At 44.1% G+C, this 18,235-nt stretch overlaps 1 protein-coding gene across 1 annotated transcript in view, besides 5 other annotated features; it reads right to left on the reverse strand.

The window, feature by feature from the left end:
* The window catches only part of NCF2 (neutrophil cytosolic factor 2), a 46,288-nt gene extending 37,309 nt beyond the window's left edge, over window positions 1–8,979 (reverse strand). Inside the window, exon 1 of the mRNA XM_047421222.1 lies at window positions 8,875–8,979. The gene's annotated coding sequence lies outside the window, so the exon portion shown is untranslated. The remainder of the gene's footprint in view (window positions 1–8,874) is intronic.
* Window positions 939–998: an enhancer, noted in NCBI's record as "active region_2218". NCBI's record gives its function as "activates an Ori minimal core promoter by ATAC-STARR-seq in GM12878 lymphoblastoid cells {active_cell/tissue: GM12878}" and the evidence as "EXISTENCE:reporter gene assay evidence [ECO:0000049][PMID:35858748]".
* Window positions 6,520–7,019: an enhancer, noted in NCBI's record as "H3K27ac hESC enhancer chr1:183568525-183569024 (GRCh37/hg19 assembly coordinates)". NCBI's record gives its function as "activates a minimal SCP1, AML or CMV promoter by ChIP-STARR-seq in primed H9 embryonic stem cells {active_cell/tissue: H9 hESC(primed)}" and the evidence as "EXISTENCE:reporter gene assay evidence [ECO:0000049][PMID:30033119]".
* Window positions 11,364–11,658: an enhancer, noted in NCBI's record as "tiled region #11944; HepG2 Activating non-DNase unmatched - State 23:Low, and K562 Activating DNase matched - State 4:PromP". NCBI's record gives its function as "activates a minimal TATA promoter and a strong SV40 promoter by Sharpr-MPRA in HepG2 and K562 cells {active_cell/tissue: HepG2 | K562}" and the evidence as "EXISTENCE:reporter gene assay evidence [ECO:0000049][PMID:27701403]".
* Window positions 11,810–11,899: an enhancer, noted in NCBI's record as "active region_2219". NCBI's record gives its function as "activates an Ori minimal core promoter by ATAC-STARR-seq in GM12878 lymphoblastoid cells {active_cell/tissue: GM12878}" and the evidence as "EXISTENCE:reporter gene assay evidence [ECO:0000049][PMID:35858748]".
* Window positions 16,363–16,512: an enhancer, noted in NCBI's record as "active region_2220". NCBI's record gives its function as "activates an Ori minimal core promoter by ATAC-STARR-seq in GM12878 lymphoblastoid cells {active_cell/tissue: GM12878}" and the evidence as "EXISTENCE:reporter gene assay evidence [ECO:0000049][PMID:35858748]".

Below are 18,235 nucleotides of genomic sequence, written 5' to 3' on the forward strand. Positions count from 1 at the left end.
TATGCCTTCATTCCTGCATCTGTGCGACTCGTGCTAGTTCCTCTTTCTAGGCTGCCCTCTCCCATGTCTGCACCTTCAAACCCACCTTGCATAGCCTTCGAAGGCCTGCTAAAATAGCACTCTCCTTAACACACTGCCCTGAAATCAGTCCTGCCTGAAAGCGCTCAAACCCATGATCTCGCCTTCTGAACTCCTGCATCTCCTTCTCCGCACCTCCCATGTGGCCCTTAATCACTCTTCACCAATGTATGTGCATGCAAGTCTTAGCACCTCAAATAGTGTGCCTCAGGAGGAAGTCCTGGGCTAACCCATGTTTGTATCCCCCAGGGCACTAGCAAAGCCATTCATGCTCCATTTCATCCACTTTCCCTCCCCTTCTCCTGTCACCACTCAGGCCAAGCCACTATCAACTCCCAGGTGAACATGATAGTCTTTTAACATTTCTTTGCCTCTCCATCCAGATTGAGCTTTTAAAAACACAAGTCAGATCACTTCATGGCCCCTGTTTTTAAACCTTCCATGGCTTTGCACTGCTCTCAGGATATAACCCGAACTCCTTCCCATGCTGCAGGAAGCCCCCTGCCTGCTGCCCTGTGCTCATTCCAGGTCATTTCCCCTCCTCCTCTCCCAAGAACTCCAGCTACACAGGCCTCCTTTCATGGTTTCATATGAGCCAGCCTCTTCCTCCGCCCATGTAACACTCTTCCCCCAAGCCTGCCTGGCTAGTTCCTACTCATCTTTCACTTCCTCAATGAGTGGCCTTTCTAGATCCATGACCTTGCTATGTGCACGGTTCTCTCTGATCATGTATTTGTTACAGTTTGTAACTGTATGTCATCTGTGACATTGTTTCTGTCCCTCAATGCAGGGGCAGTCTATTTAATCATTACTTGGTGCTGTTAGTAGACGGTCTGTTCAGCCACTGTCCATTCGCCTTCCTCCTTTTGGTAGAACCCCAGTTCTGTTCAAGCCTCCAGTTTCCTGAAGCCATGCGCTTCAGGAGGGAAAGTCTGCTAAGAATTTCTGGGAAAGATTTCTTCCCCAGTGATAAAAAATAAAACACATGAGAAGAAACAGCACTTGTTTCTCTACTAGACAGCATTGTGAGATGTGTCTGGAATATGGCAGCTGTCTTATAATCATGAGGGGAGACAACTAAGAACAAGCCATTGTCTGAAAGAAAAGAGAATGGAAAATTACAAAGAGCTCAGATGCTTAGTTATGCTGATGAGATGTGTTGCATTATCTGTTTTCTGCAAATCTGGCTGGGCACAATGGCTCACATCTGTAATCCCAACACTTAGGTGGGAAGATCCCTTGAGGTCAGGAGTTAGAGACCAGCCTGGGCAATGAAGCCAGACCCCATCTCTACAGAAAAACACTAAAAATTAGCCAGGCATGGTGGCACATGCCTGTAGCCCCAGCTTCTCAGGAGGCTAAGGTGGGAGGATCATTTGAGCTCAGGACTTCAAAGGCTGCAGTGAGTGATGATCACGCCACTGCATTCCAGCCTAGGTGACTGAGCAAGACTCCATCTCTTAAAAGATAAAAATAACGTTTTCTACAAGTCTGAAACTGATCTACCTTGGAATTTCTTGTTTGGTTAGATAATAAGTTTGTTTATTGTTTAAGTCATTCATATCAAGTTTTCTATTAGTTATGGTTTAAAATGTTCTGACACACACACCACTGGATTCTCGGTACCTAGTACAGGGCTTGGCATATAGCAGGTGTTCAATAAACATTACTTGTTAAATAAAATTTGTTGAGGCATTGGTTGGGTAACTCAGTTTCATCTCGATATTTTCAAAATTATTCCAAAATTCCAAATAAGCAAGATTTGCATATGATTGGTTAACACTACAAACTACTGTTGCATGTATTTATTCAGCTGGAAGCCAAGAACACTCCCAAGACCCTCCTTTTTTTTTCTGAGGAAGAAGCCTGTAAAATCAAAATAAAACTCATTATTCCTGGGCACTCAGGAAATACTTTTTCATTCCTACATTTAGATTTTAGTGTTCTATCGCTCTTTAACTTTTTCTGGTACATGAGACTTCTTTCTTAAGCTCCTCAAAGGATAGAGCCAACTCTCCACTGTCCTTCAGTCTTTCGCCATGTTTAGCACGTAGTAGCTGCTCCGTGATCATTGGCTAATTAATTAAATGAACTGAAAAATGAGAAAACTGAATCCTACTTGGAAAAATATAATTTTGTAAAGTTTGTCAGTATCATGTTAGTTGCATAAAGTGAGGTACATTTAGACTAGTAGGGAAAAGAACGCACTTTTTTGCCGTCAACTCTAACATTGAGTAGATAGTTTCATTGAGTACAAGACAGGAAACCCTGAAGGAGGCAGGGAGGAGACCTCATTTATTAGATATAAACTTGGCCTGGATCTCACATGAAGGATACAGAAAAGTCAACAGGGGTCCTGTTGTTCAGCAATGCTATTGAAAGCCTCAGGGCTTGAAATCGTCTTTCTCCAGGAAGGCAAGTTAGTCCTGTCTAATCTGTCGTTGGGTTGGTTTTCCGTTGCTGCATGACAAATTACCACAAACTTAATGGCTTAAAATAACACACATGTACTATGTCACAGTTTTCATGGGTCAGGAGTCTGGGCACGGCTTAGTTGGGCCCTGTGCTCAGGGTCTCACAAGGCTGAGATCGAGGTGTTATCTAGGCTGCTTTCTCATCTGGAGACTTGACGGCATCTGCTGCCAAGCTCCCTTGGTTTGTTGGTGGAATTCATCTGTAGCTATAGAATTCATGAAAGCTTCCTTCTTCAAGGCCAGCAATGGAGGCAGAGAGAATCTCTGCTTCATTAAGTCTCTTACCTCTAGACCTTCTCTTAAAGGAGTCACCTGATTAGGCCAGGCCCACCCAGAATATTCTCCCTTTTGATTAATTTAAAGCCAACTGCTTAGGGATGTTAATCATCTCTGCAAAAATCCCTTCACCTTTGCCATGTTCTATTGATTAAAAGCAAGTTACAGGTCTCTCCCACTCAAGGGGAGGGGATTACACAAAGGCAAGGATCATCAGGGATCATCTTAGAATTCCACCTGCCACACCTCAGCAGCTCCAGTCTTCTTCCCTGACTTACCAGTGAGATTAATTATTCCTGCCATGTGCACTCAAGGAGGTTTCTCTCTACCTCTCCTAATGTGTGTTCAAGCACATGTGATTGTAATTACTTGTTTAAACGACTGTCTCTCAACTAGACTGTAAGCCCCGAAAATACAAGATCTGTGTCTGATTTTTCCACTGTATCTTTTGTGCCCATGATATGGTGGATTTTTAACATATCTGTTAAATAGCGATGCCATGGAAGGTGCTTTTAAAGTCAGTGTGATTACTTAATTTGCTTGGCTAAATATATGTGTCCTAGCATCCTAGATGAAAATGAGGGAATGTATAATGCCTATTCATTTAAAGACACCTCATATTAAGCACTCTTTTTCATATTTGTACCCTTTACACACACAATGTCTAGTACCTGCATAGGTGGTCACTCAGTAAAAGTTTGATGAATAAATGAATGAATGCATAGAGATTAAAGATCTGAATCCTGAATGAAGCAAGTAAATACACTGGATCCTCACTATAAATTGTCCTTTGGGCCAGGCACAGTGGCTCACACCTATAATCCCAGCACTTTGAGAGGCCAAGGTGGGCGGATCACGAGGTGAGGAGTTGGAGACCAGCCTGACCAACATGGTGAAACCCTGTCTCTACTAAAAATAGTACTAAAAATAGTACTCAGGAGGCTGAGGTAGGAGACTCTCTTGGACCTGGCAGGCAGAAGTTGCAGTGAGCCGACATTGCATCACTGCACTCCAGCCTGGGCTACAGAGCGAGACTCCATCTTAAAAAAAAAAAAAAATTGCCCTTTGACATTTCTCTGCAGATCCAAATCCTGTCCATCTGTCCATCTGTAAAAGCTCAGCTTAGACTCACATCCTACGTAAAGTCTTCCCTGATGTAAGTTAGTCTCAGTAATTTTTTTCTCTGAATTCCTATAGCATTTTATGATCAAACCCCAAAACACAAGCACTCTATCACATTATCTGTTTTCTACCTTATCTATCCAGCTAGCTATAAATAGGTTCTTTGAGGGCAGGGAACAGGCTTTCTATTTCTTTACATTTTCCACAGAACTGGCACCTAACATCTTATATCAAAGTCTTAATAAATATGTGCTGATCTGAAAAGTAAAAAAGAAATATGGTTGATGTGGCATGATTCTAGTCCTGCATATCTTAGGAACTTTCCCTTTTTGGATGCAGTTGGCCTTTTCAGTCCTGCATTTTTCGTCTAGAGTACCCATTCACTAAATGCAATCTAGTCATAGAGCCAGGGATCTCTTTTACATGTGTTCAAAACTCCGTGGGTCTTTTTCTTTAGGAAGATTCCTGTCTCAGGATAGTTTTTGTGTGTGTTTCCCAAGCCAGTGAGTATCTAAGGGGAAATGATGCTCTAACAAGACAGTTACTGATGTTGAAGGAGTAGAAACTGATCACGTCATTGTACAAAAAAGCGGAGGGGGCACAGAAGAGTTAGAAATCTACCCCCTATTTAGCAGAACAGAATTTTTTAAAAAAATTTAGATTCAGGAGGTACATGTGTAGGTTTGTCACGTGGTATATTGCAGGATGCTGAGGTCTGGACTTCTATTGATCCTGTCACCCAAATAGTGAACATAGTACCCGATAGGTGGTTTTTCAACTCTTGCCCACCCGTCTCCTTTCCCACTTTTGGAGTCCCCAGTGTCTATTGTTCCCATCTTTGTGTTCATGTATACTCAATGTTTAGCTACCACTTATAAGTGAGAACATGCAAGATTAGATTTTCTGCAAAACAAAATTTTTAAAGATTCCCTTTTGCTTTCCCTGTAGTGTCCCTAACGACCGTGTCTGGACATACAATAACTATTTGCTGAATCACTGAATGAATGAACAAGTGAAGAGTGGACATCTGTTAGGGTATATGCCTGTCTCTTCTCTGGGACCTGCCTGTGTAATCCATAGAAGGATGGTAGGCCCTGTGGCCACATTTGTACTGCCTGAGTCCTGGCTGGTTGGACCCTGGTGGGCATCTGACAAGCTGGCCTCATTAGGTTATGTCTCCTGTGATTCAGGATTTAGGACTGAGAGGTGTATAAACCTAGGAGCTGCAGTTCTATCATGCTGTGCCCTGAGGCCCCGGAAAGCAGAGGAAGCCAGACTACTCAGAGAGAATGGAACAGATGCCCAGCGAGGAGCAGAGACAAGAGACACAGAAACTTTTCAGTCTCCGGTTCCAGCCTTTCCTGAGCCCCATCCAAATTCCTGCCCCAAGCTTAGACCCTTGCAATAAATTTCAGTGTTTGCTTAAGTTTGCTGTAATTAGTTTTGTTGTATGCCAAAAAATAGACTTGACTAATACAAAGTGAAAAATAGATGTAAGCCCCAGGCCCAAGACTCTAAAATAATCAATTGCTAAAGAGAGACAGGAGATTCTCAGAAACAAACATAACCATGTGTTACTCAGGAATACGGAGATGAGGGAAGTGGGGAGGCAATGAGACTCCCCAGAGAACGCTCTGAGGAGGCCAGACATGCACAGATGATGGAAGCCATGGCTTCTGACCAAGGAGAAATCCAAATGCTTGGCAGAGATCAAAGGCAGAGTATAAGGAAAGACAAAGCCCAGAGTGAGCTGAGGCTGCATAAAAAAAAAAAAATTACTAAGGACAGCACAAAGGTCTTTTTAGTATCAGAGAAAGAAGAGCAGGGAGAGGGAGAGTCATGGCTTGGTGGAGATGGTGTCATTTTCACAGATGTCAGAGTGAAAGCAAAACTGCTCAGCTCCTATTTTGCTTCCAGCTATACAGATAATTGAAGACCCAGATAGAGGATGGTGAGAAAGTTGCTAGCTGCTTTAAAGAAATTCATTTTATCAAATGTAGACTCGTTAAAAACCAGGAATCGATAGAATTTGTAAGTGTGATCCCTAAAATCTTATCAGCATTGAGATTCAGGAAGCCAGGATGTATGGGCAAGTATGAGTCCAGTCTTCTAAAAGCTGTGAATTCTAGAAGTGGTATCAAAGACTTATGGGCTGAGCCCTAGAAATAATTATAAAATACAGATTATTAAACAAAGGCACTTACAAACCAAAAGGAAGCTATTACATTTAGGAACTAGCATGAGTTTACTCAAAATAAGTCAGGTCAAAACAAACTCTTGACCAGGTACAGCGGCTCATGCCTGTAATCCCAGCACTTTAGGAGACTGAAGTGGGAGGATTTACTTGAAGTCAGGAGTTTGAGACCACCCTGGGAAACATAGCAAGATCCCATCTCTACTAGAAAAAAAAATTAGCTGGGTGTCAAGGTGAGCACCTGTAGTCCTATCTAATCAGGAGTTTGAGGCAGGAGGATTGCTTGAGCCCAGGAGTTTGAGGCTGCAGTGAACTATGATTGCACCTCTGTACTCCAGCCTGTAGACAGAGACCTTGTCTCTAAAAACAAAACAAAACCAAACCTCTTTTTCTTTCTTTCTTTCTTTCCTTCTTTCTTTCTTTCTTTCTTTCTTTCTTTCTTTCTTTCTTTCTTTCTTTCTTTCTTTCTCTTTTCTTTCTTTCTCTTTTCTTCCTTCCTTCCTTCTTTCTCTCTCTTTCTTTCTTTCTTTCCTTCTTTCTTTCTTTCTTTCTTTTGAGATGGAGTCTCGCTGTGTCACCCAGGCTGGAATGCAGTGGCACTATCTCTGCTCACTGCAACCTCCACCTCCCGGGTTCAAGCAATTCTCCTGCCTCAGCCTCCCAAGTAGCTGGGATTACAGGCGAGCACCACCACGCCTGGCTAATTTTTTGTATTTTTAGTAGAGACAGGGCTTCTCCATGTTGGCCAGGCTGGTCTCAAACTCCTGACCTCAGGTGAAACGCCCACCTCAGCCTCCCAAAATGCTGGGATTACAGGTGTGAGCCACCGTACCCTGCCCTCTTTTTCTTTTTTTGAGAGGATTTTCCTGGTAGGTGAATTGGGAAGGTGCCATCTACCAATATCAGTAAGATATTTGGCCAAGATATTCCTTAGACAATTTACTTGGCTAAATATTATGTTCACTGAATCTTCTTAACATATTAATGTCACCTTGTGCTTTTAACCTTTCTATAAACACCTTGAATCAGATTCACAAATAGCTCAAAGTTTGGAGAGAGAGTATCAACATGTACATCAGAATTAAAATATTTCTTGACTCATATAGATTCACAAAAGCTCCAAATGGAGTTTGATAAAGACAAATGTAAAGATCGGCTCCTAAGTTTAAAAACCCAACTGCCCAAACATCGGAAGATGACAATTCTTGACAATTCTTAAAAGCAGTCCATCAGAAGAAGGCCTAGCCATTTGGATTGACTGCAAGCTCAGTATGAGTCAACAAAATCATGTGGTTGCCAAAACAGCTAATGCAATCTTAGGCTGCATTAACAGAAGTGCACCCAACTCTTGTGTCAGATGGTTCTTGACTCAACAACCTGCCCTAGCCAGAGACATGGGTAATCTCTCTATTGGCCAGAGCAGGAAACTGGCACCATTCCCCAATTCAAAACAAGCTCTCAAAGATTGTCTTCTGTTCATAGCAACTATTATCTGTCATCCAGGGCTCTCGTTCTGAACTGACCAGTGTTCCCATCCATTTCCCCAGAACTCTTGGCTCAGATTAGAAGACATTGTCTAGAAAGTCTTTATTTCAGTCTTTTTTTTTTCATCTGGTCACAGTTCAACTACCAACGCAGACATGGCTTGCACATTCTCCACCAAGAGACACAGGCTCTTCACTCTGGGGCTTAGACTCTTTTCTGGGTTTCAGGACAGTCAGCAACATGGCCTTCATCAGCAGATCATCTGACAGAAGAGCCTCCCAGAATGATGGGTTCCTTCACTTCCTTCTCAGCACTAGGGTTGGGCTTAGCTTGTCCAGGACTTTCACCTACTTGAGAGGTTGACAGCACACACCAGGGCCATCATCCCACTGACCGCATCAGAGCTGTGGTTCCCCATGCAGGGATATATACCATCAAGAGCTTGCGAGATCATTTGAGGCACTACATGGACACACATTTTTATCATAATATTTATTGTTTTACTTTAGTTCCTTAATTTTTTTGGAAAAAGAATATATTCACATGGTTCAAAAATTAACAAATACAAAAAATTTTCCTCCTCTCAGTGTCAAACTCTTCCTGCCCATCAGAAACCACTTTTATTAGTTTCTTGGTATTCTTCCCTCAGAGAAGATTTTAAGCATATGCAAATGCAGACCCTCTGTCCCCTCCTCTTCTACGCACATATCATTAGAGGTAAAGTTCTGCTTCTCACTCTTTAACAACAGTCTCTTATCAGTACATAGAAAGCTTCCTCATTCTTTGTTTATGGCTGTGTAATTTTCTGTCGTATAATGAGTGCCCCATTTTCCAATTCCAATACAGTGTCTCCAATTGTATACTATCATCATATTGTGAGGAATGTTCTTGTATATACATCATTTCACACGTCTGTAAACATATTTATAGGATAAACTTATAGAATTAGAATATCTGAGTCACAGTGTTTATTTATTCTAATGTGCATTTTTTTAAAAGTATAACTAGCACACCAAATCCACAATTTCATTATTAGCATTTTTTATAATGAGGGTAGGTTTTAAAATGGTGAATCAGGCTGAGCACGGTGTGTCATGCCTGTAATCCCAGCACTTTGGGAGGTTGAGGCGGGTGGGTCACGAGGTCAGAAGATCAAGACCATCCTGCCTAACACGGTGAAACCCCGTCTCTACTAAAAATACAAAAAAATTAGCTGGGCATGGCGGCGGGCACCTGTAGTCTCACCTACTCTGGAGGCTGAGGCAGAAGAATGGCGTGAACCCAGGAGGCGGAGCTTGCAGTGAGCCAGGATCGTGCCATTGCACTCCAGACTGGGCGACAGAGAGAGATCTGTCTCAAAAAAAAAAAAAAAAATTATGAATCAGTGAGAGAGAAATATTAAGCAAATCTCAGCATTGGTGGTTTGAAAATATGGCTAAAAATTATGAAAGTAGTAAGTAAAGGGCTGGAGTTTGAGAAACACTGACCTAGAACAGAATTATCACATTCCCTACCAGAAGCTCCTAAAGTCTGTATTTCTTACAGGGTTCAAAGTTGTCATAGGTAGGGTACCGGGAAAGAGAGAGCTTTGAGTTAAGGGATTTGGGTTTGAATCTTGATTTTCCTCTAGCTGGCTGTGAGTCTTGCAGCCTCATTTTTCTTATGTGGAAAGGTGTGTTGCTTGGTGGCTATTATAATTCAGCCAGTCTGAGTGAATTTGGGGAAGAAAGAGAAGTCAGAATCTTTGTTCTGGCTAGCACCTTTCCCTTTCAACATGCCTTCTCCATAAACACATTTATGATGGCAGCCTGAAATTAAGCCAGATACAGTATATAATCATGTGTGTGACCTGTGCAGTCACACAGGGGCCCATGCTTAGAAAGTCCCCACCCTTGCTTTCTTTGCTGTCACCATCTTAAAATTCTTAATAATTCAGAATAAGAGGCCCATATTTTCATTTTGCATGGAGACCCTGCAAATTCTGTAAGCACTCACACATGGCCTCCTCCCTCCTATCATCCACCTCCACCTACCAACTGCCTCCTATTGCTCTTGAAGGTTACTGCTGTGTGAAGCCTCCCACCCTTGGGGCCATCTAAGGAAGCTAAAGCTTGGTCACTTCTGCTGTGGTCTGGAGTCCCCTCTGCTGACACCATCTGTCCCAGTGCTATCTCTCTCATGGCCTTCTCTATAGGATGCTCTCAATGTCACTCAGGAGAGTGGCTTTGGGAGGCTAGTACCAACTTCCCCTGGGTATTCTGGGGGGTCTTCACTGATCAGAGCCTGGGTCTGGAGGCACCTTGGTGATGTTTTTCCCCATTAGGCCCCTGAGCTCTATGGAAGCACTTAACTGCCTGTTCCCCGCTTATTCTGTGTTTAGACCAAGGAAGCAACATGCCTGGGGTCTGAAATCCTGGATTCAAATCCTGACTGTGTTTTGTGCTACCCGAGTGAACTTTCACAAGTCCCTCCAATTCTCAAAAGCTTCAGTTTCCTCATCTGCAAAGTGATTATAGAGCAATGCCTAACTTGCTGGTTTATTGTGAGACTGAAATTTATGACAGAAAAATGAGCATAGCCTTTGTTTGTTTCATGGGGTGTTAGTCCTCTGTCCTGACATTCCCACCTCCTACTCCAGGCTGACTTGAGCGAAGGGTTCATAGAGTGCTGGGTACCACCTCCTCAGCTGGCCTGTGGACACTCAATTCCACCTCTGTCCAAACTCCAAGCAGTTTTCTCTCAGCTGCAGTTTGCTCTGTAGCCATTTCATCCTTAGAATTCCTAGCACGCAAAAGGTTTGCAGAATAGTTCATCACACTGCAGTACTATTAAAGCCATATAGTTCATGACATAGTCCAGGGTCATTAAATGCTGTGGAAGTCCCCTTTCACACAGAACACTGGACTTTCTACTTTAGAATTGATTGTCATTTGTCACTAAACAGTTTCTCATACTTCTCCGCCTCCCTGTTTGGATTGTCTGCTTAGTACAATCTGCTTAGTAAGTGGACATCTCTTTTTTTTTTAATGGAGTTTTGCTCTTGTTGCCCAGGCTCGAGTGCAACAGCATGATCTCGGCTCACTGCAACCTCTGCCTCCCAGGTTCAGGCGATTCTCCTGCCTCAGCCTCCCAAGTAGCTAGGAGTACAGACAGGCACCTGCCACCACGCCCGGCTAATTTTTGTATTTTTAGTAGAGACGGGGTTTTACCACGTTGGCCAGGCTGGTCTCGAACTTCTAACCTCAGGTGATCCGCCCGCCTTGGCCTCCCAAAGGGCTGGGATTACAGGCGTGAGCCAACGCACCCAGCTGTGGACATCTCTTTATTATATCCACTGCTTTTCCAGATTCTCTCTTGCTCTCTCCTTCCACTTCTGTCCGCTGGGACGTAGAATGGTGGAAGGAAGATGGGGGAGAGGTGTCCTGAATTCTAGAGAAGTGGTTTCTAGCAGAGCAAAGAAACATACAAGAAGCTATTGCAATATTTCAGGCAAGAAATAATGCTAAGGCAGCCACAGGAAGAGAGGATGGATGTGGATAAATGCCAAATACAATGTGGCATTTCACATGGAGACAAAGGAGAGTGACTGGGAGGCTGGTGACACCCGTGACTGCCACAGGAAATGGAGTGGTAACCTCATCCACCCCTACACTTTCATACAAGTGACTCTCAAGGCATGCTTCTGGCCATATTGTCTCCCGAGAGCAGAAATCTGAAGACAACTGATATGGCCTTTAATAAATGGGGACTGAACTTTGGGGAGGCCCTAATTAAAGACAGCTGGAGCCCTGGGGAAAAGGAGCCAGTGGAGACTGTGGGAAAATGTCAGAGAGGCAGGAGGAAGGTGAGACCACTGCGGTCAGCCACATCTGACTCAGCTCTTCAAGGAGGGAGGTGGACGGTGCGGAGAGCTGCTGGAGGGGAGGGGAAGCTGAAGACCATGATGACGTCATGGCCGAGCTGGGGCAGTGGGCAGAGGAGGCGGAAGTCAGGTTGTGAAGAGCTGAGGAGATAGTGGGGGCTGAGAGGATAGAAGGGCTGGATGCTCTCCCTGAACTGTGAAAAGGAAGAAATCATGCTGCCCACAGGTGGAGTAGCCCAGGAGAAGGGCAACCCTGGGTCTGCAGCCCCCGCCCCTCTGCCTCTGTGTCTTCCTCACACTGGGCTCCCAAGCCTGTGTAGGCTTGAGTCTTTCTGAAACTTTGGTCAGTCTGTGGTAACACCTTTCCCATGATGAAACATGTTTTTTCTTCCCCTTTCTGCATCTTCATTAGTTGCCTTCCTCCTAAACAGAACTCGGCAGCTAAATTAGGCCAAAACCCCAACTCATTTCCAACAAAGTTCACCAAATAAGCTGAGAAATCTCTACGGCCTCACAGGAGTCAGTGTCAAGTCACAGGGACTCAGGGGCTCTTCAGACCCCAGCTGCACGGAGCCGAGGTCTGAGGTAAAGAAGCAGCCATGTTCCACATGCACTTCCCCTCTTCCGGACACAGAAGTTAGGATGTAGGACGTGCCTCAAAGGCAGTGTGGATGTGGAGAGGAAGTGATGGCTGCAGCCAACCAGCGTTAAGTCCTCCCCAAATAGGTGTGCGGAAGTGGGAAGGGCACACGTCTACCCATGTTCTCTCTTTACTTTAGAGAAGGCTGGGGAACAGAAGGCTGAAACCAACTGTGTGCAGAGTTCTCAGGCCTCTGCCAAAAATGAGCAGGACCTGCCCGACACCTTCTCCGCTACAACCTCTTTTTCTACTGTCACTGCCCATTGTCATGGTGGCTCCCCAAAGGTGAGCCTGAGTCCATATTTGCAAGCTTTGCCCTGAAGACAATTATATATCTGATTGCTGTGGCTGCAGAGGCTTAGAATCCTTCAGGGGCAGGAGAGGTCCTGGCAGTAACAGTTATTCTCTATAAGTTCTTATGTGCCAAGAAAGCTCTGAAGTGCTTGATATGCATCATTTCATTTGTTCCTTACCCAAATCCATTGATAGTAAAAGAAGCTAATTCTTAGGTTAAGTATTAATCACTTGTTTAAGGTTACAGACCTCATAAATGATGAGGATTAAACCCAGGTTTGTCTGACTCTAAAGCCAATCTGTGCTCTGTAGAGAAGAGGGAAAGAGAAATTGCCACCTCCCCAGCATTTCATTGAATCTAAATACATTTTATTTTTTTCTTTCCTGGAATCCAAAGCATGTCAAAGACATTTCAGCCATAAACCTGGTTATTTTTTCCTATTAAGAACAAACATGATGGGCCAGGCACAGTGAGTGGCTGACCCGTGTAATCCCAGCACTTTGGGAGGCCAAGGCAGGCAGATCACTTGGGCTCAGGAGTTCAAGACCAGCCTGGGCAACATGATGAAACCCCGTCTTTACAAAAAAATACAAAAATTAGCCGGATGCAATGGCATGTGCCTGTAGTTACAGCTACTCAGGGGGCTGTGGCAGGAGGATCACCTGAGCCTTGGGAAGTTGAGGCTGCAGTGAGCCGTGGTGATCCTGCCACTGTACTCCACCCTGGGCGACAGAGACCTTGTCTTGAAAAGCAAACAAGCAAACAAACAATAAAAGCAGAGATGCTATTCTGCCTAGGGCAGGGAATGACTTGGCCCTTAGAAGTGTTCTAAAATTCTGATCCATGACCTGATAGACCCAAACCCTTCTACTGACACAAGTACAAAAGCTGTCATTTCTTGAGGGTAGCAGGGACTAAGGCCAGAACTTGGCAACTGGGGAAGAGGTTGGGAGCAGGAGAAGTCAGCATGAGAGCCTGCTAGGGCACATTGTATCTTGAGGGACTTCATACTTGAATTCACAGCCTTGCCTCCTAACATTTAAAAGTTTAAATAAACTAGAAATGTTTCCTTACCATGGGGACCAAAACAAGTTTCTGTAAAGGTAAATACATGTAAAAATAAATACAAAATAGCCATGGATATGAAAGCATGGTTAAGGAAAGCATGGATATGAAAGCCATGAAAGCATGGATAAGGAGGGACTCCTTTTAAAAATGTCCAAGACATTTGGAATTTGGAGTTCCTGGCATGGTGCTGTGTTTTTCCTGTTTGAGCTGTGGTGCTGGCCTCCTAAGAGCTCACCCCATTGCCTCAGCCTCAAAGGTGCTGGCTGAAGGGAGCTGGGCCTGTAGCTCCATCCATGCTGTCAGTGAGCTCCCTGGACCTAACTGCCTTTTCAAATCCCATAGGGCCACCTGCACGTTCCCAGATTTCTTCCCTGGCTTGGGCTGGGACATCTTGACAGAAAGGTAGGCAGCGGGGGGCAGGTGTGCCTAGCACTTTGGGAGGCTGTAATCTCAGCACTTTGGGAGGCTGAGGCAGGAGGATCACTTCAGCCCAGGAGTTCGAGACCAGCCTGAGCAACAAAATGAGACCCTGTCTCTACAAATAAAAAATTAAAAAAATTAGCCCAGTGTGGTGGCACACACCTGTAGTCTCAGTTACTTGGGAGGCTGAGGTAGGAGGATCTTGTAAGCCAGGGAGGTTGACGTTGCAGTGAGCCATGATTGTGGCACTACACTCCAGCCTGGGCTACAGAGTGAGACCCTGTCTAAAACAAACAAATAAAAGACAAAAGAAAATCTAGGCAGAGGATCTGATTGTCCTGCTCTTTAATAGTAGGACTGGAGTTTGGTGCCTTCTAGCTTTCCCGAGATTATTTGTGAAACTACAAATAAAGTCCTGCTAATGTAATTTGCCAAAGCCACATAGAGACACTCAACTACTTAGATTTTCTCTGCCTGAGGAAGAAGCAGATGAATCTTGGCACCCTGGGACTTTCATTTTAACTCTCTGGAAAAAATCTGTGTCATCTGCTGATGTTCCCACTGAGCTGTTTTCAGATTCTAGGTTCTAGAGCAAACTGGGTACCAGCTGGACACCCAGACACACAGTGGGGTTGGCCTACCGGGCCTGAGGAAGAGCACCGCACAGTTCACAAACAGGAAATGTCCTTTTGCAGAGGACTTTGGTTTTTTTTCAAGATAGAGTTCTGAGGAAGAAAAAAATGTGTTTAGTTGACCATGAAGTAGCTTTAAATATCAGATACTACCTACTCAATTCAGGTAACTAATTAACAAATTGGCTCTTTGTTATATCTTTAGGCCAAATGGTCATGCTTTTAAGTTTAGCAATTCAAGGTCTAGCAATTCCTTCATTTTGTTTATGCAAAATTCAAAATGCTGTATCTGTGAATTAATTATTAATATTAATATCTTCTAAACTACATTGTGATCATTTTCTCATCAGTCCTTATTCTCACTGTTGTTTTAACTAAGAAAAGGAAAAGGAGAACTGAAATCTAGGGTTGATGGCAAACTTAGTTAAGTCTTCAAATCATTACAAAGCACCAATTCACATTTGGCAGTGGTCTCTTGAGCAAAGACTAGGATGTGATCCTTGCCCTGAAAAATCTTATATGTAATTCAGGATTATATAGAAGGGCTTGGGTAAAACCTTCAGGGAACAGTGCTAGGCCAAATGAAAATACAGTAGTTGGCTGGGCACGGTGGCTCATGCGTGTAATCTTAGCACTTTGGGAGGCTGAGGCAGGTAGATCACCTGAAGTCAGGAGTTCGAGACCAGCCTGGCCAACATGGTGAAACTCTGTCTCTACTAAAAATACAAAAATTAGCCAGGCTGGTGGTGGGCATCTGTAATCCCAGCTACTTGGGAGGCTGAGGCAGGAGAATTGCTTGAGCCTGGGAGGCAGAGGTTGCAGTGAGCTGAGATCAGGCCACTGCACTCCAGCCTGAGAAACAGAGTGAGACTCTTTCTCAAACAAACAAACAAAAAAAGAAAATACAGTAGTCCCCCCTTATCTGCAGTGGATGCATTCCAAGACCCCCAGTGGATCCCTGAAACCTCAGATAGTACCAAGCCCTATATACACTATGTTTTTTGCTGTATAGTAATGAGTAGGGAGCATATACAGTGTGGATACACTGGACAAAGGGATGATTCACATCCTAGGCAGGGTAGATCCTGATTGTATGAGATTTCATCATGTTACTCAGAATGATGTGCATTTAAAACTATGAATTACTAATTTCTGGAATTTTCCATGGAATATTTTGGGACTGCAGTTGACCAGGGGTAACTGAAACCTCAGGTAAAGGAAACATCAGAAAGTGAAAGCATGGATAAGGAGGGACTCCTATAAGCTCTATGTGGTATGGGCTGGATACCATTTCCAGAAGATGTCACTGCCTTGTGCTTAATTTCCTAGGACTTTGAACACATATATTCAAATGAATTCTGCCTTGTTCCAGAATTAAAGTGTTCCAGAAGATTGGCTGTTCTGATGTGCCACTTCAGTGAACCAAAAGGATGTCTGTTTCTTTTTTCTTTTTTCTTTGGCTATCTTTCAGCCCCTTGGCCTTCAGTAAGATTTTCTGTGCCTTTTATAATGTGTGAAACTAAAGCACCTGTCTAGACCTCAGATGGCTCTTTGGGGTCCAGTTTGCTGCATCTCAAGCCAGCATTTGATTGGTTGTCATTATCGCTGTTGCTTTAGAAGTTATTTCCCAAGCATTTAATCATTCAAGTTGAGGTTTCTGTACTTCTGCTGATTACTCCATGCTTCCGTCCACCCAGCACCCATTTGGGGAGGTAAAATCATAGACTCTTAGGTTCATTTGCTCTTCCTGAACTTGGAGGGAAAACACCTGTTACTTTTGGCCAATTGATCCCCCAATTCAGGTCTCAGAACTAAACCACCCACATCCAGGGTGAAAAAGAGGAGACTTTCTGCTTCTGGGGGAGGCCAAGGATAGGCTAGGGTGTGAGGAGGGCAGAGGAGAAAGGACCCAGGCACGGGTGGTGAGTCCAGGCTTGAGAATTCATAGTGTCTCTTTTGCATGAATCTTATTCATAGTCTCTCTTTTTGCATGCTCCATAGCAGGCCACCAGGCGGCACTTGTGAAATGATAAATGGAGCTCTCTCATCCTCATCCAGTTTCTGGGTGTCTCCTGAGTCACATTCAGAACAGGGAAGTAAAAAGGGCTGTGAAATGAGCCTTAGTGTCATGTGGTTCTTTTTCTCTAATTGGGTCTGGCAGGCCCGGGCACAGGGGCCTGGGAAACATATCTTTTTGGCAAGGGTAGAGGGGAAATCTAGTGCCCTCTATTTTCCCATTCGGTATCTAAGCTGACATTCCGGATGAAAATCTCCAGAGGGCTGGAGCTGAACCATAATTATCCTTTTTTTTTTCTTTTTAAAACTGTACCAGTTAGTATACATGTGATTTCTAGACTTAGAAAACATGTCTTCACGATAAGAGGGATGCAGAACAAAAGCAAAAAACATCCACTTCAGAAAATTGCACTTCTGTGGCAAATATGCATATTCCCACTAATACAAATACTAAAAACAAAAGTCTGTATTTTTTCCAAACTCTCTATTTTTAGTTCTGTTTCTTCTGGCAGAAAATATAATCTCATTCAGTTCCAGGCATTCTTAGGCACTTCACGTTTAAACCTACTCAAGTTTCCCTACTCTGAAATCCCCAAACTTTTCTCAGGGGTCTGTCATATCTCCCTTTGAAGCTAGCTATTTCTGGGAGAGGTGGGCTTCCAGCATCCCTCCTCTGGACTCCAGCATCCCTGTCCAGGGTATAACTTTTGTTTCTCCCCCAGCTGGTCTCTCTCCCTTCTTAATCTTCTGGGGGGTGGAGGGGAGGGCAGGAGCAGGGTGTGGCTGGAAGAGGAAAGGCTGGTGGAGAGTGGAGACTGGTCAGCAAACACTCTTCATCCTGTCTTTCACTGGGACTTGTGGACCATTGCCAACTATTTGTCATTTCTTTTCTCTGGCTCCACCGTGGCTATTCTGTAGGACAAATGGCAGCCTCTTGCTTCTCCACAGGAATGGGGGCAGGTGGAGGAAGTCACAAAATAAAAGGGAGGGTGGGTGGGGGACTCATCCATGAATACTTCACAGTATCACGTCGCAAATTTTGTTTGTGCTGAGATGCTCTCCTGTCTCCTGTTACTCCATCCCTGGAACTGTTCACTATCGACAATGAATGCACCATTGCTGAGCAAAGGGCTCAGGGCCAACACCAGGGGCTTCACTTGGGACAGGCTGGAGCTCAGGGCAGAAGTTCCACAGGTCTTTTGTTCTCTCAGCATCCTGAAGAGAGATGTGTTTGGGGTTGAGCCAGGCAGGATACACTGAGGTCCTTAGTCCAGCAACCTGTGCAAAACTGGCACTGCCTTTGTTGAACCTTGAGATGAGTGCAGCTTCCAGCCCCACCTCTTAATTGTAGCCTGGGGGACACCCTCAGCCAGAGGACCCAGCTTAGCTGTGCTCAAAGTCCCAACCCCCAGCAACTGTGGATAATAAATAAATACATGTTGTTTTAAGCCTCTAAGTTTGATGGTAATTTTTAATGTAGCAGTAGATAAGTGATAGAGTAGGAAAACTAAATTGACCTTCTAGTCATTCGAATGGGGCAGAAACATGTTGTTGGGGGCAATAACATGTAAATTAACTATATCTGTATGGAAGATCACCTCTTATGACCTTCACTGTCTAGGATTTCTGAATTTGGAAACTAAGCCTTCTAGGGAGGGTAGAGAAGCCTCCAA

The sequence above is a fragment of the Homo sapiens genome, chromosome 1 (assembly GCF_000001405.40).
Source record: "Homo sapiens chromosome 1, GRCh38.p14 Primary Assembly".
NCBI lineage: Eukaryota > Metazoa > Chordata > Mammalia > Primates > Hominidae > Homo > Homo sapiens.